Source organism: Homo sapiens, chromosome 5 (assembly GCF_000001405.40).
Source record: "Homo sapiens chromosome 5, GRCh38.p14 Primary Assembly".
Classification (NCBI taxonomy): domain Eukaryota; kingdom Metazoa; phylum Chordata; class Mammalia; order Primates; family Hominidae; genus Homo; species Homo sapiens.
Genome location: NC_000005.10, coordinates 32,261,504 through 32,287,046, shown reverse-complemented (window position 1 = coordinate 32,287,046; position 25,543 = coordinate 32,261,504). Strand labels below are relative to the sequence as shown.

At 43.0% G+C, this 25,543-nt stretch overlaps 1 protein-coding gene across 3 annotated transcripts in view, besides 2 other annotated features; it reads left to right on the top strand.

The window, feature by feature from the left end:
• Positions 1 to 25,543, top strand: part of MTMR12 (myotubularin related protein 12) — an 85,933-nt gene that overhangs the window by 25,893 nt on the left and 34,497 nt on the right. For all 3 annotated transcript variants that reach the window (NM_001294344.2, NM_001294343.2, NM_001040446.3), the window contains exons 2-7: positions 10,305 to 10,365; positions 12,925 to 13,067; positions 15,142 to 15,214; positions 16,100 to 16,230; positions 18,253 to 18,346; positions 23,805 to 23,934. In NM_001294344.2, coding sequence (NP_001281273.1) covers positions 10,305 to 10,365; positions 12,925 to 13,067; positions 15,142 to 15,214; positions 16,100 to 16,230; positions 18,253 to 18,346; positions 23,805 to 23,934 — 632 coding nt within the window. The remainder of the gene's footprint in view (positions 1 to 10,304; positions 10,366 to 12,924; positions 13,068 to 15,141; positions 15,215 to 16,099; positions 16,231 to 18,252; positions 18,347 to 23,804; positions 23,935 to 25,543) is intronic.
• Positions 6,202 to 6,311: an enhancer, noted in NCBI's record as "active region_22440". NCBI's record gives its function as "activates an Ori minimal core promoter by ATAC-STARR-seq in GM12878 lymphoblastoid cells {active_cell/tissue: GM12878}" and the evidence as "EXISTENCE:reporter gene assay evidence [ECO:0000049][PMID:35858748]".
• Positions 6,332 to 6,381: an enhancer, noted in NCBI's record as "active region_22439". NCBI's record gives its function as "activates an Ori minimal core promoter by ATAC-STARR-seq in GM12878 lymphoblastoid cells {active_cell/tissue: GM12878}" and the evidence as "EXISTENCE:reporter gene assay evidence [ECO:0000049][PMID:35858748]".

Here is a 25,543-nt window from a genome sequence, read left to right as displayed (position 1 = left end):
TAAGTGTTCCCATTGTACCCTGTATTTCCTCTAACATATAGCACATTTCTACCAAGGCTGTCAGACTCCTGTGTTCTCTGAGGACTTAGGTGCTGTGTGTTGTGTTCATTCCTGTGTTTGCTGTGCGTGGAAGAGAGCAGGTGCATAAGAGATGATCATTCAGTGAATAAAAGAGCATGTGAACTCGAGAGGAGCAGTGCCCAGAAGGAGGAGGCATGGTCGGCCAGGGGAGGCAGGTTGGATTGTGGTTGAGAGTACAACCCTCGTCAGATAAACCCTTGTCAGGTAAAGCCTTTCAGGTAAAGGCTTGAGACCCATTTCTTTTAACCTGGCTTACTCTCATTTTCCTCATCTCTAAAATGAAACAATAATAGTAGTTAACTAAGCTCTGAATAATAAATGAGATGATGTGTAGAGACAGAATCTTTTGTAGCCTTCTGGTACTTACAGCACTCATTACTTAGTATTCTAGTTATTTTTTGTCATCTGAATTTCGTGAGGGCAAAAGTCAATCCTTTTTTTTTTTTGAGACAGGGTCTCACTTTGTCGCCCAGGCTGGAGTACAGTGGCACAGTCATGGCTCCCTGCAGCCTCAACTTTCAACCAATCCTCCCATGTCAGCCTCCTGAGTAGCTGGGATAAGTGCATGCCACCACGCCTGGCTAATAAAAGTCAATTCTTATTCATCATTTTATTATTTATTTTTTGGAGACAGAATCTTACTGTCACCCACACTGGAGTGCAGTGGCATAATCACAGCTCACTGCAGCCTCCACCTCCTGAGGTTCAAGGTGATCCACCTACCTCAGCCTCCTGAGTAGCTGGGACTACAGGTACATGCCACCATGCCCTGCTAATTTTTATATTTTTTATAGAAACAGGGCTTCGTCATGTTGCCCAAGCTTGTCTCGAACTTGGGCTCAAGTGAACCACTTGCCTTGGGCCTCCCAGAGTGCTGGGATTATAGACATGAGCCACTGTGCCTGGCCTTATTCATCATTTTATCCTTAGCGTTTGGTACTTAACATGTTCAGGAGCTATTTGTTGAAATGAATTGGTATATATTAGAGATGGGTCATTTTGCAACTCTGAGTAACCAGATACACAACTTAAATATTGACTCAGGCCCATTGGAGACCTGTGATTTTGGGCCACTCCTCAGAAACATAGTTCTGAGAAGCGATTAGGTTGGCAACTTTTTTGATGCTAGACCAGCTGTGTGATATGGGTTCCAGCAGGTGTGTCTCCTTTGGGCCATAAGCTTGCTAAAGAATGGGTGGCAGTTCTCAAATTCTCATCTCTTGTCTGGCCTAGACATTGCCAGAATGGGAGTGCTTCTGGCTCAGCATGGGTGAGGTTCTTAGATAATGTGGGGGTAGACACAGCTGTGGGTTCTGGGAATTGCTGATACTCGCAGTGGGATCCAGAACAGATGTAGCCAGTTTCTTTTGAACTGTAGGGGAAAACTTGCGGAAACTGGAAGACTTATTTTTCATGTCTTCATCTTTTTTTAAAAAATAAAATAAACAAATAAAAAGTAGCCATAACATTGGAGTAAATGTTGAAGTAAGGAATTAACAGTGGCGGGGCAGGGGGCTCACACCTATAATCCCAGCACTTTGGGAGGCCAAGGCAGAAGGATCACTTGAGGCTGTCATGCTTCTGTTCCCTCTTTTTTTTTTTTTTTTTGAAATGGAATCTCGCTCTGTCACCCAGGCTGAAGTGCAGTGGCACATTCTTGGCTCACTGCAACCTCCGTCTCCCAGGTTCAAGGAATTCTCCTGCCTCAGCCTCCCAAGTAGCTGGGATTACTGGTGTGTGCCACCACACCCGGCTAATTTTTGTATTTTTAGTAGAGACGGGGTTTCACCATGTTGGCCAGGCTGGTCTCAAACTCCTGACCTCAAGTGATCCACCTACCTCGGCCTCCCAAAGTGCTGGGATTACAGGCGTGAGCCACTGTGCCTGGCCCATGCTTCTGTTCTAATTGAATTTAAGCCCCACTGAGATATTCTAGTTTAGAAAACCTGGACGTGCTGTGATCCTGGTGCCAGCAGTTTTTGCCTTTCCTTTGTGCCATAATGGCAAGCTTTGTTCAAATTCAAATGGAGCAGCAAGAGGTGGTATACAAAGCACAAAGACCATTTTTAACTGATGCATTTGTTGAAAATTTCCATAATTTTCAGAGTTAGTTTTTTAAGAAAAGTCTGTCAGCCTAACCAGTAGAACCAGTTCTGCTTGAGTATTAAAGAACTATACCTTTTCTACCTTTTTGCTGCACATTGAACATGATAGTTAGTGGAATAAGTGAGGAATGTTACCTCGTGTTTCACAGCTGCAGAAGTAAGGTTGTCAACATCTACTAACTAGGTAGTTGGTAGGGAGTGTCAGAGTTAAAGGCGCAGAGGCTTAAGGGCAACTCTAGACCCTTCTGTAAAACTAGTTTATGGTTTAAGAAGCTCCCACCACCCCAAAGAATAGGGATAGTACACAGGCAGCTCTCACTGGATGCTGATTGAATTGGCTGTTAGATCCTGGGATGTGCTGGGCCTATCTACTGCTCTCTCTGAAAAGGCTTCACAAGTAATAGTCTTTCCATTAAGCTTTAGAGGAATCCTCCGTTTTTCAGTATATTGCAATATGAGTAGAGCATTTGGTGATGCCATCCATATTAGTGGCTAAGCCTAGCTATTGTTTCTTTTCTATTCTTTTTTTTTTTTTTTTTTTTTGAGACAGGGTCTTGTTCTGTCACCCAGGCTGGAGTACAGTGGTGCAATCATAGCTCACTGCAGCCTTGACCTCCCAGGCTGAGGTGATTCTCCCGCCCCAGCCTTCTGAGTAACTGGGACTACAGGCACATGCCACCATGCCTGGCTAATTAAAAAAAAAAAAAATTTTTTTTTGTGGAAATGGGGTTTGGCCATGTTGCCCAGGCTAGTCTCGAATTCTTAAGCTCAAGTGATCCGGTCCATCCACCTTGGCCTCCAACAGTGCTGTGATTACAGGCATAAGCCACCGCGCCTGGCCAAGATTATATACTCTTGAAAGGAAGCAAGAATTGCTCAGGCATACATACCAGTGTTATTCATGGTTAGAGCCTTTCCTGGAGTCCCATTGAACTCTTGAGTCAGTTGGCTTGAAAATTAGAGACTCATGCCTCAGAGGACCCAGTGGAGTGAGTCATAAGAGGTAACACTTTCAGTAGGTGTTGAGGAGCCTCAAGGTTCTTCTCCATGCAGCTGGCCAGTGTCACTTAGGTTGGGTGTAGGTGTCTTTTGTTGTTGTTTTCCCTTTAGCTTCCCTTGGCCTCTCTATAACTCTCATTCGAGGCTTTCCCTGGTCACTTTGTGTTGCTCGCTTTTACCTGGTTTCAGGTGGATCTAGCAGGTACTTCACTGATCATTCTGCCTTGTTTTTCCTTTTTCCTTTCATTCCTTCTTTCCACATGACAGTGTGGCATTGAATAAGAATGCAGACTGGGCCAGGAACGCAGACTGCGCACAGGGTTTGACTTTCACCTGTGCCACATACTAGCAGGGTGTCTTCATCTGTAAAATGGAGACAATCATGGGTATAATAACTCTATTGCAAAGGTTTGCTGTGAGGATTAAATGAGTTAATAAATAAATACAAAGCTTTTTAGACAGTAGCTGGCACTTAGAGCCCAAGAAATGTTTGTTATTATTCACTTCTCAACCTCAGTAAGGGCTGGCCCTGTACCCACTTTGGAAAAAGGAACAGTAGACTTTGGCGTTCACAGATTGGACATCTGTGATGTCTACAGTCCACAAGTGACTCTTGGTCACAGTGTAGTAATTTGTAATGCCACTAAGAAAGAGATTATATTTACTCATTCAATTGTAAAGTTTGGACAGCCTTTAATCACTCACCCAACAAATTTGCCAATGAAAACAACAGCTTATACACATTCAGAATACAGCATGGTTAGGAGTAGGATGCACATAGGGGAATTTCAGGGGAACCCACTCCAAGATCCACATGTAGGACTCAGCACATCCAGATACGGGTGCTCTCGTACCTTGTTGGTATCCACCTCTGCTCTCCTTCATTCAGCTATGTTCATTCTCCTGTGATCAACAAGCAAAGAATGGTAAATCCGTTTTCTCTTAAGAATATTGAAATATATTAGCTCCATATTTGTCAGTTCTTTCTTTGTTTTTCTTGTGGAGTTCAAAAAGCGATTGTGAAATATAGGGATGAAGAGACTACAGACATTGCCAGTGAATACTCTCCGTTCCGTCCTTCCTACCCACCCAAACAGGTAACTTGTGAAAATCAAATTCAAAGAAAAACTCCAATTAAACTTATTTTTGAGGCAAGGATTTCTTTATGATTCTTATTTGTATACCCTGATTTTTTGGAGTCCTCTAGGTTATTTCTCTTCTTGGGACTGGTTTGGATTTTTGTTTGAGGGGGGAAGCAGTTGATAGTGGTGATGATGGTTATTTGTTTTTTACCTGAGTTGATTATCTGTAAGACTTGCATAGTGTATATTTATAATTTTTTTGAAGTGTTAACCAGAAAGGATTAGATACTCATGATGATTTTTATTTTTTATTTTATTTATTTATTTATTTATTTATTTATTTATTTATTTATTTATTTTAGATGGAGTCTTGCTCTGTCGCCCAGGCTGGAGTGCAGTGGCACAATCTCGGCTCACTGTAAGCCCCGCCTCCCGGGCTCACGCCATTCTCCTGCCTCAGCCTCCAGAGTAGCTGGACTACAGGCACCCGCCACCACACCTGGCTAATTTTTGGTATTGTTAGTAGAGACGGGGTTTCACCAGCTAATTTTTTGTATTTTTAGTAGAGACGGGGTTTCACCATGTTAGCCAGGATGATCTCGATCTCCTGACCTCGTGATCCGTCCGCCTCGCCCTCCCAAAGTGCCAGGATTACAGGCATGAGCCACCGCACCCAGCCTGATGCTCGTGATGATTGAGTACAGTGTGGCACCTTAAATTCCAGTGCTCCAGTGGTTATATAGGTTTCTATTCTCAATTTGTTACCACCTTTTAGCAACTTGATCTACTGTCAACAAAATTAGTAGCTGAGAAAGCTTTTTTGTGTGTGCATGCCCAAGCAGGTCCTTCCTCTCGGATGTGGTCTCTTTTTTTTTTTTTTGAGACGGAGTCTCGCACTGTCTCCCAGGCTGGAGTGCAATGGTATGATCTCAGCTCACTGCAGCCTCCACCTCCCAGGTTCAAGTGACTCTCCTGCCTCAGCCTCCTGAGTAGCTGGGATTATAGGCATGCATCACCATGCCTGGCTAATTTTTATATTTTCAGTAGAGACGGGGTTTCAGCACGTTGGTCAGGCTGGTCTCGAACTCCTGACTTTGTGATCCACCCGCCCCAGCCTCCCAGAGTGCTGGGATTACAGGCATGAGCCACCACGCCCGGCCCAGATGTGGTTTCTTAAGAAAGCCATTGGTCTACTTTTTTGGTCTTGCAGAGGGTTCAAAGTGCTTTCTATTGCAAAAGATAAGATGCATAATGACCAGACATAAATCATGGTGTGCTGCTAGAAGATAAATCCTATTAATAGAAAAATGCTATTTCCTTTACCCTGGCTTCAGATATTCCTAATGTAGTTAAAGTCTTACAGATTTAGGGCCAACTTCAGTGTTGCTAATTTCAGGAATTCCTGATCCACAGAAAAAAGAATTGTGAGCCTGAGTAGAGTCAATTTAGTTTAATATGGGAAACAAGATTGGGAGAAAAGTAGAAGTTACTAGTCTCATGTAACAGTTTTTTTTGTTTTTTTTTTTTTTTTAATGATAGAGTCTCCTTCTGTTGCCCAGGCTGGAGTGCAGTGGCACGATCTCAGCTCACTGCAACCTCCACCTCCCGGGTTCAAGCTATTTTCGTGCCTCAGCCTCCCGAGTAGCTGGGATTACAGGCACATGCTGCCGCATCCTGCCAATTTTTGTATTTTCAGTAGAGACGTGGTTTTACCATGTTGGCCAGGCTGTTCTCAAACTCCTGGCCTCAAGTGATCCACCCACCTCAGCCTCCCAAAGTGCTGTGATTACTGGTGTGAGCCACCACACCCTGCCGAGAGATTCTTGAATAATTCCCCTACTCTTTGTTTACTCATGAAAGGAAATCAAGCAGAAGCACAGATCCTGCTACCCCCAACAACTATAACAAATTACATGACCAAGTACCTGTGTCACCGAAGTTATGTATGTATCTCTTAAAGCTCTCATACTAGGTAGTATTGTTTCCATTTTAGTATATCGGAGGAAACTGAAACTGACACTCAGTCAGTTTAAATGACAAGACCAAAGTCACATCTGTGGATGCCAGAGCCATATTTGGACTGTGGCCCCAGGTCGGTATTCTTTCTGTTTTTAGTACATGCACAGAGAAAATATTGGAGAAACATAGAGAAAGACAAAAACTTAAATTATTAGTACTATGCTGTATAAAAAATACAACTTTCTACTTAAAAAAATTTTGTTTTAAGATATACATGGATACCTACCTAATATGTAGATGCAAATTCATTTTTCTCCCTCAGATTTTCTACTTAGCTGGAAAAAAATGAGTATTAAGTGTTCATTCTAGAAAAGTAGGGCAGCTTTTAGGAAATGAAATGTCTGTGTTATGTCCTTTTAGCACTGTGTCAAATGCAATGGAAAGAAATTGTTTTGGAACCTTTAGAGATGTTGCTTCTTAGAGTTTGTCCCTCTGGCTGGATAAAATTAATCTGAGAACAACAATTTCAGTTTTTGATTTAAAGCTGATAGGAGCATTTATAAGCATTTTGACCTATGAGAGCTTCATTGTACCCCCACACACCCTAGTTCTTTTCAAGATCTTTCTGGCAGGGCCCTACCCTTTTTCTACCTCTCCTAAGGTGCCCCAGGATCATCACACATTTGAGATGATGTGCACTCTGAATGTGAACTTGGTAAGAGTCCAAAGAATTGACTTTTCAAGAACCAGTGAAGTAAATACCACCAGGCTGCCTCTCAGCAAGTCCTCAAGAGTGGTAGTTGACTTTAACATCCATGTGCTTTTGTCCTGTATGTCCCCAGCCCCTAGACTGCGGACTGGTACTAGTCTGTGCCAGCACTGCAGGAGTTGAATGTAGGAGTAGGGGGCAGCAAGGATTACCTCCTGAGTTCCACCTCCTGTGGGATCAGTGGCGGCATTAGATTCTTATAGGAGCATGAACCCTATTGTGAACTGCACATGCAAGAGATCCAGGTTGCACGCTCCCTATGAGAATCTAAGTAATGTCTAATGACCTGAGGTAGAACAGTTTCATCCCAAAATCATCCCCTGCCCCCCTGCCAGGTCCGTGGAAAAATTGTCTTCCGTGAAACCAACACCTAGCTCCAAAAGTTTGGGGAATGCTGCTGTGTGTGGCAGATCCTTGAATGTGAAGTAGTTCTCCTAACGGAATTTTTCTTATTTGTTCTGATCAGTTTTGTGGTAAGAGTTTCCTTTACAAGCAATGGATGCTACATTGATTTTCTCTTTTGCAATGGGAAACTGGAGACCATGTTTGTTAGAATTGGTACATAGCAGCGAAGAATGTAGGCTCTGAGTTCAATGGAGCTTGCAGATCCTTGGTTAGTAACTTTTTTTTTTGAGACACGGTTTTGCTCTGTTTCTCAGGCTGGAATGCAGTGGTGCAGTCATGGCTCACTGCAGCCTTGACCTCCTGGCCTCAAGTGATCTTTTCACCTCAGCCTCCCAGGTACCTGGGACTTCAGGTGTGTACTACCATACCTGGATGATTTTTTAATTTTTTTGTTTGTTTGTTTTGTAGAGATGAGTCTCACTCTGTTTCCTAAGCCCGTCTCAAATTCCTGGGCTCAAGCAGTCCTCCCACCTCGGCCTCCCAAAGTGTTGGGATTGTAGGTGTGAGTTGCTGTGCCCAGCCATAACTTACTTTTTTTTTTTTTTTTTTTTTTTTTTTTTTTTTTTTTTTGAGACAGAGTTTCGCTCTTGTTGCCCAGGCCGGAGTGCAAAGGCACAATCTCGGCTCACTGCAACCTCTGCCTCTCGGGTTCAAGTGATTCTCCTGCCTCAGCCTCCCGAGTAGCTGGGATTACAGGCATGCACCAACACCCCGGCTAATTTTGTATTTTTAGTAGAGACGGGGTTTCTCCATGTTGGTCAGGCTGGTCTGGAACTCCTGACCTCAGGTGATCCGTCCACCTCGGCCTCCCAAAGTGCTGGGATTACAGGCGTGAGCCACCACACCTGGCCAAGAATTTTTAAATTACCAAAACAGTCGTAGCTTTTAACATGCAGGAATAGTTCCTCTTGCTTAAGCCCCAGACCAGTACATCAGAATCATCTGGGGAGCTTTTTACAAAATCAGAGAGCCAGCCTGCATCCCTGCACTATAAGTCCGCAGGCTTATGGGTGCCAGAGAGTGTTTAGATAACAAGCTTCCCACGTGATCTGACCACACTGCCTCAGAGGGACTTGGTTTACTGGCATCTTAGTCACCTCCAATTTATACCATGCTCAAAAATGAGTTCTCAGGAAAAGCCCTAACATTCTTCTTCAGCCTCAAGATAGGCTGTACCCAAGTTTCTTCTAATGCCATATTTCAGTCTGAATTAACAAATTCAGAAAATTTCCCACCCAGGGCCTTCTACCAAAGAAAAAAAAAAATCTGATTTTATTTGTTGACAAAACTGGTTGTGTCTTGTAGAATTTTTCACAGTCAGAATTTGACTGATTATATCCCCACTGTATTATTTGACATGTTTCTCTGTCCCAGTGTTTCTGATACATTGGCTGATTGCTGTGGAAGTTCAAGGAGACTGAGGTTAGATATTTTGGCAAGAACACTTCCTGGATGGTGTGGCACACTTTATTAGGAGGCCCATGGTGCCTCTCTTTGTTATGTTAACAGCCATATATGATCATTGCTTTGGTCTATTCATTCATTCATGTTTGTAATTAATTATCTTTGAATATCCCATAAATACTGAGCCCCAAGTAGAGGCATTTGAATATATTTTTACTGAGAAGCAGTGACCCAGAAACTGGCCTTGATTCTCTGTTAGAAATGACTGTATCCCTTGGCACTGTCTTGTGGTTTTAGGTAACTTTGAATGGACAAAGAATGTCCCAGCTCTCTTTACTGAGCCCTGGTGTGCTGTAGATTAGCTGGATCAATACTGACTTGATACATTCATGTTTTCCTATTCTTACCTTTGGGCCTTATTTATGTGTCCATATTCTTTCAAGAACACATCATCTTTTGCTTTCAACCCTTGATCCTCACTGGAAGGAGAGGGGATCATGCTGTGGCGTGTTGTCTCTTTTCTTTCTTTCTTTTTCTTTTTTTTTTGAGACAGAGTCCCACTGTTACCCAGGCTGGAGTGCAGTGGCATAATCTCGGCTCACTGCAGCCTCTGCCTCCCGAATTAAAGTGTTTCTCCTGCCCTAGCCTCCCAAGTAGCTGGGATTACAGGCACTCACTACCATGCCTGGCTAATTTTTGTATTTTTAGTAGAGACGGGGTTTTGCCATGTTGGCCAGGCTGGTTTCGAACTCCTGACCTCAAGTTATCTGCCCATCTCGGCCACCCAAAGTGCTGGAATTACAGGTGTGAGCCACCACGCTGGGCCATCTCTTTTATTTCAGATTCTGTGTTTGAGCAGCCTTGCTTTGCTATGTGACACTTCAAGTTGTTCCTTAGATAAGGAGAGATAAGGAGTGCCCACCTCACCCCCTCTACTTGGGACAGCTACTAGTTATCAGTCCTAAATAATTAGTTTAATACATTAAATATCCATAACTTGGAGTTTTCTGTCTTCCTTTAGTTAGAACACTTCCTGTTTTTAAAAAGTATCTAGCTTGGGCCAGGCATGGTGGCTCACGCCTGTAATCCCAGCACTTTGGGAGGCTGACGCGGGCAGATCACAAGGTCAAGAGATCAAGACTATCCTGACCAACAAGGTGAAACCCCATCTCTACTAAAAATACAAACAATTAGCTGGGCGTGGTGGCACACGCCTGTAGTCCCAGCTACTTGGGAGGCTGAGACAGGAGAATCACTTGAACCTGGGAGGCAGAGGTTGCAGTGAGCTGAGATCGTGCCACTGCACTCCAGCCTGGCAACAGAGTGAGACTCCATCTCAAAAAAAAAAAAAAAAAAAAAAAAAAAAAAAGTAGCTTGTAACATAAACGAAAAGCTCCTGAGGGTATGTGATATTTTAGTGTGTATTCTGAAAGCATGGCTTAATGTTATTCATTTTAAACCCTTAAACAAAGAAAAATATCCTTTGCTCTTCTCTTTTAGGAAATTCACACAAACGAAAAGGAAGTAACAGAGAAGGAAGTAACTCTTCACTTGTTGCCAGGTAACTGTCATGTTAGCATAGTAACTCCTATGCAAGGCAAAGCCAATGATAAATTACATCATCCCTAGCCTTGCTATATTTAAACTCCTTTGTTTTCATCTTCTCACATATAACAGTAATGAATTGAAAAAACATATCAAGGTTTGTAGTTCAATAACTACACACCTGGGTCTGAGTATTACAACATCTGCAAAGAATTTTTCTTGTTTCCTCTTCCCCCAAACTGATGAAAATAAACCTGGAATGTTCTCACTGCTTTCACAAGCAAATGAGGACTTTTTCAGGCCATTCTAATGGCCTCTTCCAGTATGCTGATCCCCAATCTGTAGGGAATTGAGGAAAACAATTCAACTGCTATGGCCTCCCAAGGCAACCATTGGTGGGTGGCTTTACCTCTCAGTCCATACCCACTTGTGCATGTGAGCACGTGTACTGGGGATGCTGGGGTTTACCAGCCTTGGGGCTGCCAGCACTTCGCCCTGCAGTCATTGCGAAGGAGCCTGGATTGGTTAAATATTTTTGAGGTAGAGGACAGTGACTTTAGCTTAAGTTAAGTTTTAGTCATTTCCATGTTCAGGAGTAGTAACTACTTGGTGGTGTATCCTCTCCATATATGGGATATTCTGTGATCCATGTATTTAATTCTTTTTCTACTTTCTTTTTCTTAATTCAAAATAGCTTTTTTAAAATAAGTTCTTTAAGGTACATTTCCCCAAAACAATACAGGCTTTATTCTGTTGCTTTTTATTTTATTCCAGTTTATTGAGGGGATATAAATCTGTGCAAGTTTCTGACTGATCCACGTTATTTGGTAAAAGAATTCTATAACTTTTTTTGATGTTTTTAAATGTCAAAGGCTTTTTTTCTATAGTGATGACTTAAACCTTATCTCCTCTTGTTTTTCTCTTCTTGGTGTTATAGATTCAGAAATTTTATTTTTAGCTTAGCATTATGCATATTCTCCCCCCTCCTGAATTACTTCACAGTCTCATCTAGGTGTGGGTGTGCAGCGGTGAGTTCACAGTTAACTTCTCTGAGCCTAGTTTCACAAACTAGACAAAGATCATTTCTAGCTCCCAACTCTTGTGCTTCTAGACTCTGTGATCTGGTATAAACCAGCTGATTATGGCACAACATGCCATGTTTGCAGAGGGCCTCACCAGGAATGTTGTATTAGCTAGTGCATGCTAATTTCTGGTCGCTAGTACATGAGCATGGGACGGGGCTGGCCTGGTCTTGGGGAGAGCCTCACCATTAAAAGTATTTCACCATTAAAAGTATTGGGAGGTGAAAGCACAGGAAGCCTTGCTTACATGTCTTCCCCCATGGACTTGGCAGAGACACTTTTTCTGGGACTATTTTAAACCCTAATGAGGCCCTGTCTTCATTATTTCCTTCAAACTGTGATCTCTTGAGAGGCTGACCTAGTGACTGAGCCATCTTCCGGTATTTCCTTAGTGTTTCAGCCAGAGGTAATTAACCCCTTGAAAGATGAGAGAACAGCACCATAATATTTGTCCCTTCTGAGTGTCTGAAACTGTTCGTTTTCATATTGAAGGTAGACTAAATAAATTTTGAGCCAAAAAGTAAATTTAAAGACCTTGAAGGAGCTATCAAGTGGGAGATTCCAAGGAGAAGATGGTTATCTGTTGCATGAGAAGAAAAATCCTTTGGGTTTTTTTTGTTGTTGTTGCAAAACATTTATACTTAGTTTTTCATTTCCCCCATAGTCTTCTCTTTTGCCTGCCCCCGTGAGCTCCTCTGCTTCCAGATGGCAGAGAATACTGACCTATTCCCTAATCCTCATCTTTTTGACTGCAAGGAGGGATACTTTCTGTCTCCAGGGGCTGCAGCTTCTCACGTCGGCTGGGTGCTGCAGATGGAGGAGGAGAGGTGACGCATTGAAAGGAAATACGCTTAACTAAGAAAGAGAGGAAACACGTTTTTTCCCCACAAACCTCTGACCTCTGTTTTCCCAGCGTGGAGCCAGAACGAGGGTGGTCATGCTGTGGAAGGCGGCAACACCTCCTGGATCTATGGAAGCTGCCTGGAAGTCCCATGGCCAGGGAGGCACTGTCACTCTCTCTCAGCACTTCCAGTATTAGAAGCTGCCCCCTCTCACAGGAAAGTGGGCTTGGGATCTGCGTTTTTTTAGGGCAGACTGGGGCAAGCCCATCTGTGTTCACTTAGGGTATTGCTTCTATGGAACATCTGCTTGGGTCAAAGTAATGAAAACACTAAGATTTCTGCGTGAAAGTGCAGCTCAGATCATTAGTACCTATTTGGAAATTTCCATTATTCCCAGTGAGAAGATAGAGAAATGTCCTGCACAGAGGTGTATCTGAGCCATTTCAATTTCACTTCTTGGTGGTTTCCACTCTGCCGCATCTTCTCTCTTATGTTTTTGCAGCTCCTGCCATGCTGAAAAGTGTAAAGTTCTAAAGCCCTGTGTTGTATTGTATGTTTGTCCTTATGTAAATAGGGCTGGAAAGCCTTTAGTGTTTGCATATCGTATGTTCCCTGAGAACTCTAAGGAGGACCTGTTTTGGTTTCTACCAGGTGAACAGCTGCTTTGTGAAGCCAGCACAGTACTGAAGTATGTCCAGGAAGATTCCTGTCAGCATGGGGTCTATGGGAGGCTTGTCTGCACAGACTTCAAGATTGCCTTCTTGGGTGATGATGAATCTGCATTGGATAATGATGTATGTATGGGCTGCATTTGGCAGAGTTTGTGGGCAACAGTGTGGTTGTGGTTCCGTTGTCTTTTTTTCCCAGCTTCTCAGTTACTCTACCCCCTAACACACATAAACACAAAGGACAGAAATCCTGAATGTATGAACTGCATTTGGTGAAGTTTGGGGGGAATAGCACAGTTGTAAAATAGCTCTGTTGTCTTTTTTCCCCCAGCTACTCAGTTACTCCACTTCCCATCATCCCCACCCTCCCCACCATCCCACATAAATACACACAAAGGACGGAGTCCTTCTCATCACTGGCCTGCTCTCTGTCGTTCAGGGTCTCCTTTCCGTGGCAGGACCGTTAAGAAATTTCTCACCCGTGCCTCATGTCATACTGGCTTACTTTTGACCTCATGTGTCAACTTTCAATTTTCTTCTGTATTTCAGTGCAATATATATCACTCACTGGAATAACATCTTCCAAATATACTAGTTCCCCACGTTTTCTCTATACTAAGCTCTTCCTTAAACCCAGGAACTGAGTTCAGTAATGAAACCGATGGTGAATGCAGCCTTTGAATTTGGGTTCACTCTGTTTTTGTTTTGTTTTTTATTTTTAATTGTTTTTGAGACAGAGTCTCACTCTGTCATTCAGGTTGGAGTGCTGTGGCGTAGTCGTGGCTCCAGTAATCCTCCCACCTCAGCCTCCTGAGTAGCTAGGACCATAGGCGTGTGACATTCACGCCTGGCTAATTTTGTTATTTTTGGTAGAGGCAGGGTTTTGCCATGTTGCCCATGCTGGTCTCGAAGTTCTGAGCTCAAGAAATCCACCCGCTTTGGCCTCTCAAAGTGCTGGGATTACAGACATGAGCCGCCTCACCCGGCTCACCTTATGTTTAATCTGAACCTAGTAGCAGTAGCCTTGTGAAATTTGTTCCTATTCATGAAGAATGAGCAATCAGGTAAGGAGAGAACTGCCCATACCACTAGGAGAGCACCATATGTTAGTGGAAACCCAACCAAGGCACATCCTGGCCCCAATGTGCCAACTGTCCCAGATCACCCTTGTTTTTTAAACAGCAGCACCAGTACTGCCTCTTCCATCTGGCCTTGGGCTTGGTTCATAGTCCTGTACAAAGAGAGCATTCACCAGAAACTTGAATCTCTTGTTCTTCCTGAAGCTGACTTCAGGTAGCTCTGTCAATCCCCTGTTCACATTTGTGTGGAGAAATGTTAACCTGTACATAACTTCCCCACACTTCTCAAAGTGATTGTGTGTGGCATGGTGGGTTTGCCTAGGAGGGGCCCAGAAATGGCATGTTCTGGACCACGCGCGGTGGCTCTTACCTGTAATCTCAGCACTTTGGGAGGCTGAGGCAGGTGGATTGCTTGAGCTCAGGAGTTCAAAACCAGCCTGGGCAACATGTGGAAATCATGTCTCTAAAAAAACACAAAAATTAGCTAGGAGTGGTGGAGTGTGCCTGTAGTCCCAGCTACTCAGGAGGCTGAGGTGCAAAGTTAGCTTGAGCCTGAGAGGTGGAGGTTGCAGTGAGCCAAGATTGCCCCACTGCACTCCAGCCTAGCCTGAGTGACAGAACTAAACCCTGTCTCAGAATGAATCTCAGGAGCTTTTCTCACATACTTCATCGTCCCTTTTTTAGGAATGTCGCTGCATTTCCCCATTTATTTTTATTTATTTATTTATTTATTTTTGAGACAGAGTCTCGTTCTGTCACCCAGGCTGAAGTGCAGTGGTGCGATCTCGGCTGGCTGCAAGCTCCACCTCCTGGTTTCACGCCATTCTCCTGCCTCAGCCTCCCGAGTAGCTGGGACTACAGGCGCCCACCACCAAGCCTGGCTAATTTTTTGTATTTTTAGTAGAGATGGGGTTTCACCGTGTTAGGCAAGATGGTCTCGATCTCCTGACCTCGTGATCCGCCCGCGTCGGCCTCCCAAAGTGCTGGGATTACAGGTGTGAGCCACTGCACCCGGCCCCCCATTTTTCTTAATATCCAAGTAGAGAATGGTGATTTACTCTGCCTATAAATGTCTAACAGTATGCAGAGGAGTCACAGTTGTTTCCTTTTGAATCTTCTAGGAAACTCAATTTAAGAATAAGGTTATAGGAGAAAATGACATTACACTCCACTGTGTTGATCAGATTTATGGAGGTAAGTATCTGTTTTTCCCTGGGGTGTTGGCAACCTTTGAGAGTATAGGTGATAATGATAATAATATTTTTATGACCATTTATAATTTTTAAAAATTTTTTCACATATATCATCTTGTTTAAATCTGTTTTATAGATGCTAAAATTGAGATGTAAAGTGGTTTATATAAGGTCACTTAGCTAGAGGAGTTTGGACCTGAACTTGGAACCTGTTCTTTTTAATACTTCACACGACACCATTATATGCTAGATGTTGATCAGACTTTTTGATATCAGAGTTAGCTGTGTAGGTTTTACTTTATAGGCTGCTCTGATAAAAAGGTCTGTTGTATTGCATTAAGATGTCTTTTCTGCTGACTAAACAAGCCTCTCCTGCCAAGCCTCTCTCTGTTCCACTTCCGAATGTTTTTGTATTCGGGGCATCTTCAGAAATCATTCAGTGATCATTTATGATGTTCTCCAGACTACTAGGTGCTGAGTGGGTCCACATTCTGGGACAGTAGGGGGTCTCAGCAGGGGTCCTAGCTGTAAACCCAGGAGTTGACTGTCATGAAAGCATGTCTCTAGTCATTTCCCTTTCATCTTTTATAAGCTCAACTTTCAGAGTGGGTTTTCTTTGGGCCACTGGAATCAGTTCTGCCAACAGTGGCCAGTCTGTTCTTGTGCTTACTCCAGAGGAGTGAAGCACGCTGACTGCTCTCAGAGAGCCAGGGCCCCTGCTGGAAGAGATTGGGCTTCCTTTGGCAGTCACTTAAAAGTCAGGCAGCACCTTTCCTCTCATTCTTGGGAAGTATCCCTAGAAGTTGATCATCTACTTCATTTCTTTAGCATTCACTTATTGCTGTGTAACATAATTTCCCTTCCTGATTTCATTGCTGATCTGTAGTGTTTGATGAGAAAAAGAAAACTCTCTTTGGACAACTGAAGAAATACCCTGAGAAGCTCATCATCCACTGCAAAGACCTTCGAGTGTTCCAGTTTTGTCTGAGGTACACAAAGGAAGAGGAAGTCAAAAGGGTAACTAGTTGCATGTGTTTTTAGGTTTTATTTCCCATCAGGTTTTCCCCACTAGCTCTAGTTTTTGCTTACGTTGCATGAAGGTTGAGGGGAGGCTTTCACTCTGTGAACTTGAAATTGGTTGTAATCCCATATTCTTTGATTAGAACGTGAAAAGTAATTTGATAAAGCATGCGTGTGTATCATCTTGGCACATGCTACCTTTAATACTTCAATTCATAATGTTTTTATTCCTGGAGCCACTAAATGGTGGGAGGTGGTAAACCAGGTCAGTAGGCGGTAGGGGAAAATGAAGAAAGGATGAGACAGCTAAAAGTTTATCCCTATTCTCCCACCTCTGACAGTCTTTCCAAAAGACAGTAGTGTTGGAGAATTCCAACTTCTATGAGTAAATGAGTTTACCTCTGGGAGGTAGTAGTTGTGCATGGAAAGGAGGAAGTACACAGGTCAGATGAGCAAAGCCAAATAATCAGACATGCTTTTAGAGACTAAATAAACATAATCTCCTGGTCGCCACAGCAAGTTGAGATATGCAACTAGGTGAACTCAGAAAGTGGTTGTATCAATTTGATGTTTGTTGTAATTTCCAAGATTTTTTTTTCTTTTTTTTTTGAGACCGAGTCTCACTCTGTCACCCCGGCTGAAGTCCAGTGGTATCCAAGATTTCTCTTACTAAGATATTGATCTCAGACTTTTCCCTCTGATGGTATAAATACATCAGGGGAAACCTATCAGGAGGCCTGTTCATGTATACTGTCTTGGCTGCAGTGAGTTTGCACACTTAGTGGTAACTCCTTAATTTCCTTTAAGTAGTGTGGTAGTTCAGTTAGAATAATAAACATAACTGATATCTATTCTGAGCAACAAAAGAGTATAGATATAGAAAATTTCCTGAGAAGGCAGAAACTTCAATTTGAACAATGGTTTTAGTCACTTAACCAAATATACTTTAGTTTCACACGAAACAGCGTGATAGATTGATTTCTTTCCCTTATCTTCCATAAGAAGATCCTAAAGGCCTCAACAATGGATCAGAACAGCTGTGTCTTGGTTATAATCCAATATCAGCTGTAAGTCTTTGACATGTCAGAGTTTTGGAGTATCTGACTTAATGTGGCACTTACGTTTTTTAGCACTTTGCTTTTGAGAAATTAGACTATGTTTTAAAATTTTCCCTAGAAATTCAGAGTTCTTAGAAAACCTGACACACTGGGCTGGGCACGGTGGCCAATGCCTGCAATCTCAGCACTTTGGGAGGCCGAGGTGGGTGGATCACCTGAGGTCAGGAGTTCGAGACCAGCCTGACCAACATGGCGAAACCCTGTCTCTACTAAAAATACAAAAAATTAGCCGGGCGTGGTGGCGCATGCCTATAATCGCAGCTACTCAGGAGGCTGAGGTAGGAGAATCACTTAAACCCAGGAGGTGGAGGTTGCAATGAACAACAAGAGTGAAACTCTGTCTCAATAACAATAATAATAATAATAATAGGCTGGGCAGGATGGTTCATGCCTGTAATTCCAGCACTTTGGGAGGCTGAGGCAGGTAGATCAGTTGAGGTCAGGAGTTCAAGACCAGCCTGGCCAACATAGCGAAACCCCGTCTCTACTAGAAATACAAAGATTAGTCAGGCGTGATGATGCAGGCCTGTAATCCCAGCTACTCTGGAGGCTGAGGCAGGAGAATCGCTTGAACCCAGGAGGCAAAGGTTGCAGTGAGCCAAGATCATGCCACTGCACTGCAGCCTGGGCAGCAGAGAGAGCTGTCTCAGAAAAAAAAAAAAGTTAAAAATAATAAAAATTTTTAAAAAAGAAAGAAAACCTCACAAAATGGTTAGCATCCTGTTGATTTGCCATTATTCCAAAAAGCTAATGTCATAGATACAGATCTCAAATGAGAATTAATATGTTGTCCATTGGAACCCCTTTGGCATGACTAAGAACTTAGACACCTTGACTCTTGTCTTTGTTAGTGTTTATCTGTCAAAACCATAACTATATCCATTGTTCGATTCTTTTTTAGATTGTCAGTGGCATAATTCATCATACCCAGGCTCCTAAACTGCTTAAACGATTATTTCTGTTTTCCTATGCGACTGCTGCACAAAACAATACAGGTAAATATCTTCTGGGTTCTAATTTGAGGGTAAGCAGAAGCCTTCCAATTCCCACCTGAAGCCAGTGGGGGAGAACACATCTATGGGTTGTTTTGTTTTTTCCTGTCTCCTCTACCAATTGGTCACCCCTTGCTTGAGTGATTCATTTAGATATCTACATTTTCTTTCCTGTGATCTTTTTTTTTTTTTTTTAAAGATGGAGTCTCGCTTTGTAGCCCAGGCTGAAGTGCAATGGCATGATTTTGGCCCACTGCAATTTCCGCCTCCCGGGTTCAAGCAATTCTCATGCCTCAGCCTCCTGAATAACTGGGATTACAGGTGCCCACCACCATGCCTGACTAATTTTTGTATTTTTGGTAGAGATGAGGTTTCTCCATGTTGGTCAGGCTGGTTCCAAACTCCTGACCTCAAGTGATCCATCCACCTCGGCCTCCCAAAGTGCTGGGATTACAGGTGTGAGCCACTGGGCCAGGCTTCCTGTGATCTTTGTTTACCTTCTTTTAGGTTTGTTTGCTTGCTTTTTGCAAGGGATTGTTTGATTGGTTGCGTTTTATGAAAGATAAGATCAAGGTCCAGATACAGTTGCTCATGCCTGTGATCCCAGCACTTCAGGAAGCCGAGGTGGGTGGATCACGAGGTCAGGCGATCAAGACCATCCTGGCAACCTGGTGAAACCCTGTCTGTACTAAAAATACAAAAATTAGCTGGGCATGGTGGCGCATGCTTGTAATCCCAGGTACTTGAGAGGCTGAGGCAGGAGAATCGCTTGAACCTGGGAGATGGAGGTTGCAGTGAGCCGAGATCGCACCACTGCACTCCGGCCTGGCAATAGAATGAGACTCCGTCTCAAAAAAAAGAAAAGGAAAAATAAGATTAATATATTATAACTAGGAATGTGAGACTATAGGGAAACAAAATTGAGAAAAGTTTAAAATAACCATGTTTGTCCCTGGGTTTTTCTGTTTAAATATGCTTGATTTTATTTCATAAGACCATAGAGAATTTCTTGCATTCTAGAAAGTTTTTAAACAACCAGAGCATACTTTATAGCAAATATTTTAGGGGAAATGGGACAGTTATACATAAGAAGAGCACATCCAGCAACTAATTTAGTAAGACAAAACTTGAAGTTCCAAATGTTTTTCATTCAGTTTGGTGAAAAAGAGAGCAATCTTTTAAGAACAAAACTGGTCATCTGAATTAGCCATTAACAATGCCTAGCATTGGACATGTTTTCACAGATGTCTGTTTTCTTCCTCTTGTTCTTTCACCTCAGTCTGTTCACTTGGTTCTGTCCATTACTCTTTTTTTTTTTTTTTTTTTCTGAGATGGAGTCTCCCACTGTCGCCCAGGCTGGAGTGCAGTGGCACGATCTTGGCTCACTGCAACCTCCACCTTCCGGGTTCAAGCAATTCTCCCACCTTAGCCTCCCGAGGAGCTGGGATTACAAGCACACACCACCACGCCCGGCTAATTTTTGTATTTTTAGTAGAGACGGGGTTTTACCATGTTGGCCAGGCTGCTCTTGAACTCCTTACCTCAGGTGATCCACGGCCTCGGCCTCCCAAAGTGATGGGATTACAGGTTCAAGGGCCCGTCCGTTACTCTTTTATTTTTCTTCAAGACAGGGTCTTGCTCTGTTGCCCAGGCTAGAGTGCACTGGCGTGATCTTGGCTCACTGCAACTTCTGCCTCCCAGGTTCAAGCAATTCTCCTGCCTCAGCCTCCTGAGTAGCTGGGATTACAGGTGTGCGCCACCATGCCCAGCTAATTTTTTTGTATTTTTAGTAGAGACGGGGTTTCACCATGTTGGCCAGGCTGGTCTCTAACTCCTGATCTCGTGATCCTCCTGCCTTGGCCTCCCAAAGTGCTGGGATTACAGGTATGAGCCAGCTCGCCCGGCTCCATCCATTACTCTTAACATGAAGCTGATGTTTAGTGATCCTGAGTCCTATGTACTTTTTGTCAGGGAAGTGGCAGTTTTTTTTTGTTGTTGTTGGTTGTTTTTTTTTTTTGAGACGACTCTCACACTGTTACCCAGGCTGGAGTGCAGTGGCGGGATCTCGGCTCACTGCAACCTCCACCTCCTGGGTTTAAGTGATTCTCCTGCCTCAGCCTCCTGATTAGCTAGGATTACAGGCGCATGCCACCACATGTGGCTAATTTTTGTATTTTTGGTAGAGACAGGGTTTCACTATGTTGGCCAGGCTGATTTCGAACTCCTGACCTGAAGTGATCTGCCCGCCTTGGCCTCCCAAAGTGCTGGGATTACAGGCATGAGCCACCGTGCCCAGCCTAGCAGTTTCTTTTAAAAAGCACACAAGGCTTTGTCATAAGGCTTTCTGGAAGGCAGAGTTGCTTTGTCACTATCCATTCTTTTAGTAAATATGTATTGACTGCTTGCTGTAAGCCGGGTTCTGTGGGTATATGGAGATAAACAGGACTAAATCCTTGCCCTCAAGAAGCGTAAAGTTAAAAAACAAAACAAAACAAAACAAAAACGTAAAGTCATATAGGAGAGGAAGCTGAGTGATGTGTCCTCTGTGGAGGCGCCCACCCTCTGGGGGAGGGTGGACTATCGAGGGGAAAAGTCTGGGCCTTAGCAGATAGTGGAGCATCTGGTAGGCTTAAAGGAGTATTTTGGGCAGAGGGATTGGCGTGTATAGAGATGTGGCTATCTCAGAGAGCATGCTGCATTTTGGGAGCTATGGTGATTTCATAGAAAAGGTATAGATAGATTTTGGTGTCCATTTGACCTGTGTTCAAATCCTGGCCTTGCTGTTTTCCAGCTGTGTGATCCTGGGGATGACACTTAACTCTGTTAAAATAAGAAAACCTCTGCTTTCTTATTTTAAAAATAGCAGCAATAAGTCTTGTGAGAATTATAAATTGTTAGTGGGTGGCACATAAGGTGCAGTCATTAATTGGGAATTAATTAAGAGTAAAACTGCATATTATTGAGGACAGATTATGCTTAGAGAATTACACTGACATAAAATACACTTCCCAGTAATATTAGGTTGAACATAAAATTTATCCCTTAATTCATTCAGTTTATCTTTGTGAATGACAGATTTTTACTGCAACTATATATACAAGTGCTGATTAACTGGGTGCTGTCTTAGAGTTTGTGGCAATATGACATATACAAATATGACTTGTTGATTGCTATAATTTGTATAAACATTTATTGAGTGCACATTTGCAAAATCATATCTATTTTCAGGAATTCTGATTTTCCTTGTATCCTGATTTTTGTTCTGTACCCAGCATAGGACACTTTCTCGGCCTGCCAACATATGTGGATTAGCATGCCAAAACCCTTACCTTGATCGACCTTGGCAGTTTCATTACCTTCTGGTGGCTTTTTGTGCCAGAGGCCCAGGATATGTATTAATAGCATCTTTTATTCTGGTTTAATTCCACTCTTCTTCTACTTCCTTCCAGCCCTCATTTGTTTTGAGAAGTAAAGGTTATAACTCGTAGATGCTAATTGACCAAATAGCTTTTTCATTGAATAGGGGTTTGTAGAGGTGGGTGTTTCGCAATTTGAATACCTTTAATTATTCCCTGGCTTCATAATTCACAAATGTGTTTTGGTTGGAAGGTCCTAAATGTTTATGACATGGCATTTTAGGGAAGGACTTCCTTGCATTGCCTAGAAGATGGCCTACTGTGGTAAATGGGAATGTTGTTACTACCTTATATCCATGGGGATTTTTTTTTTTTTGGTGGGGTTTGGAGGGGCAGGATTAGAACTTTATGGAAATTTCTTTTATAGTTTCCTGGGTTTGAATCCCAGTTCCATCATTGCCTAGCTTTGTGACGTAGGCAAGTTACTTGACCTTTCTGTGCTATATCTGTAAAATGGAGGAAATGATCTTACCTATTGTATTATCTATTCTATAGGGTTGTGAGGATTGAGTTAATAAAATGTAATATAGGCTGGGTGTGGTGTTGCATACCTGTAATCCCAGCACTTTGGGAGGCCGAGGTGGGTGGATCATGAGGTCAGGAGTTCAAGACCAGCCTGGCCAAAATGGTGAAACCCCGTCTCTACTAAAAATACAAAAATTAGCCAGGCGTGTTGGTGGGTGCCTATAATCCCAGCTATTCAGGAGGCCGAGGCAGGAGAATCGCTTGAACCTGGGAGGCAGAGGTTGCAGTGAGCTGAGATCACGCCGCTGCACTCCAGCCTGGGCGAAAGAGCGAGACTCCGTCTCAAAAAAAAAAAAAAAGTAATATGCTCAGAACAGTACCTGGTACCTAGTAAGTGCTATATAAGCACTATTATCATCATCATTATTCTTATTTTTGCTATGATCTGGTTTTATGAAAAGGAGCTGGGGTAGTTTTTGTAAACCCTTCGTTTTTCCCAGAAGGCTTGGTTTTTTAGATGTGCAAAGACTTGAACTATTTGTGATAGAATTTGTGTATATACTCAAGACTATTGTGGTATATGTATAAATACCCGGCAAGCAGTGCTGTGGCTTGGGAGAAGACCAAGGACACATCTGCTAGGCTGCAAGAGCGGTGCTCCAGGGCATTTTGTCCTAGCAGGTAGTGGCAGGGCCGGGTTGGGGATAGAAGTATGTACCCATAACCATGATTCAGCCTTGGCTAGCAGGCCCTGATCCTCACCATGGCCATCATCTGTTTATGGCCTTCAGGAACCGGTTGTCACACTAGACAAATCCTCTTACAAGCAGTGCATCTTCAAACTGAAGGAGGATTTACATTGAAGATCCTGAGATACTATTCAAATTAGTTGGCCGTCTTATGCACACATTGGCAGGGCTAAAAATATTTTGTCACTTTAGCATTTGTGCCAAGCCTGTCTTTTAGTGCTTCACATGATCTTTTTGTGTTATATAAATTAACTCATGGTCAGATGACTAGAAATGGAGCTATAAATTACTTTTCCAAGGAATGGAACTCAGTTCCTACAATGTAAAAAGACAGCTGGCCTGGCGCGATGGCTCACTCCTGTAATCCCAGCACTTTGGGCACCTGAGGCAGGTGGATCACTTGAGGTCAGGAGTTTGAGGCCAACCTGGCCAACATGGTGAAACCCCGTCTCTACTAAAAATACAAAAATTAGCCATATGTGGTGGTGCGTTCCTGTAGTCCCAGCTACTCATGAGGCTAAGGCGGGAGAATCACTTTAACCTGGCAGGCGGAGGTTGCAGTAAGCCAAGATGGCACCACTGGCCACTGCACTCCAGCAGGGGCAGTAGAGCAAGACTCCATCTCAAAAAAAAAAAAAAAAGAGACTCAGTCATAATTTTGGATTAATGACAAAAAATGGAACAAGGTTAGGATTAAGCAATCAATTCATTCTGCTTGGATAAAAATGGGCTTAGTGGAGGAAACCAAAACCTAAGGAGGGACTTTCACATAATAAAAGCACCAGTGCTTCATGGAAAGATTTTATTGTCTTTTACATTTTGTTCTCTTAGTCACTGATCCCAAGAACCATACCGTAATGTTTGACACACTTAAGGACTGGTGTTGGGAACTGGAACGGACCAAAGGCAACATGAAGTACAAAGCAGTGAGTGTCAACGAAGGCTATAAAGTCTGTGAGAGGTAAGCTTTCCATGCTGGGCACATGCTGTACAATTCACCCATTAAAAGTGTACAGTGTTTTTTAGTATATTCACAGGGTTGTGCAGTCATCACCACAGTCAATTTAGAACATTTTCATCCTCCCAAAAAGAAACTCCATACCCATTGGCTGTCACTCCCCATTTTCCCCGAATACCTCTCTTTCTTCCCCAGTCCTAGACAACCACTAATCTACTTTCTATCACTATAGACTTGCCTGTTGTGAACATTTCATATAAATGGAATCATATCATATGTGATCTTTTATGACTTGGTTCTTTCACTTAGCATGATGTTTTCAAAGTCTGTTTATTTTGCAGCTTGTATCAGAATCTCATTCTTTTTTATTGCCAAGTAATGTTCCATAATGTGGATATAGCACATTTAATTTATCCATCTATTAGTTGATGGACTATTGGATTATTTTCACTTTTTGGCTCTTTGAATAATGTTTTTTGGTTTTTTGTTTTTGTTTTTGTTTTTGTTTGAGACAGGGTCTTGCTCCGACACCTATGCTGCACCATGCTGGAGTGCAGTGGTGCCATCTCGGCTCACTGCAACCTCCGTCTCGGCTCAAGTGATTCTCCCACCTCAGCCTCCTGAGTAGCTGGGACCACAGGCGTGCACCACCATGCCTGTCTAATTTTTCTGCTTTTTGTAGAGATGGGGTTTCACCATGTTGCCCAGGCTGGTTTTGAACTCCTGGGCTCAAGCGATCCTCTCACCTCGGCCTTCCAAACTTCTAGGATTACAGGCATGAGCCATCATGCCTGGCCATGAATAATATTGATATGAACATTCAATTATAAATTTTTGTGTAGATGTATGTTTTTATTTTTCTTGGGTATATTACCTAGAAGTGGACTGCCAGATCCTGTGGAAATTTGTGTTTACCCTTTTGAGGCACTCACAGACTTTTTCACAGAGACTGTTCCATTTTATATTCCTACCAACAGTGTATGAGAGTTTCTTCCTCCACATCAATACTAGCTTTTTATTATGTACTTATTTATTATTCATTTTAAGATGGGGTCTCTCTCTGTCCCCCAGGCTGGAGTGCAGTGGCGTGATCTCGGTCCACTGTAAGCTCCGCCTCCTGGGTTCACGCCATTCTCCTGCCTCAGCCTCCTGAGTAGCTTGGACTACAGGCACCTGCCGCCACGCCTGGCTAATTTTTTGTGTTTTTAGTAGAGACAGGGTTTCACCCTGTTAGCCAGGATGGTCTTGATCTCCTGACCTTGTGATCTGCCCGCCTCGGCCTCCCAAAGTGCTGGGATTACAGGTGTGAGCCATTGCGCCCGGCCTTTTTCTTCCCTTTTATTGAGCACTTCTTTTATTCATTCACCAAAAATTTTTGACTGCCTTCCATTTGCTTGGCAGTGTCCTAGCTATTAGAGATGGCAGCAGTCAACAGGGCACCTGAAAACCTCTGCCCTCTTGGAGCTATCATTCTGGAGGGAGGAAGATGATGGTAGAATAAAGAAGTAAATTATAGCATGTTAATAGATAAGTGCTATGGAGAAAATCAGATCCAGCACATGGTTAGGGAGTGCTGGAGGTGATGGTGGGAGGGTTGGTCAGGAAGGTTTTA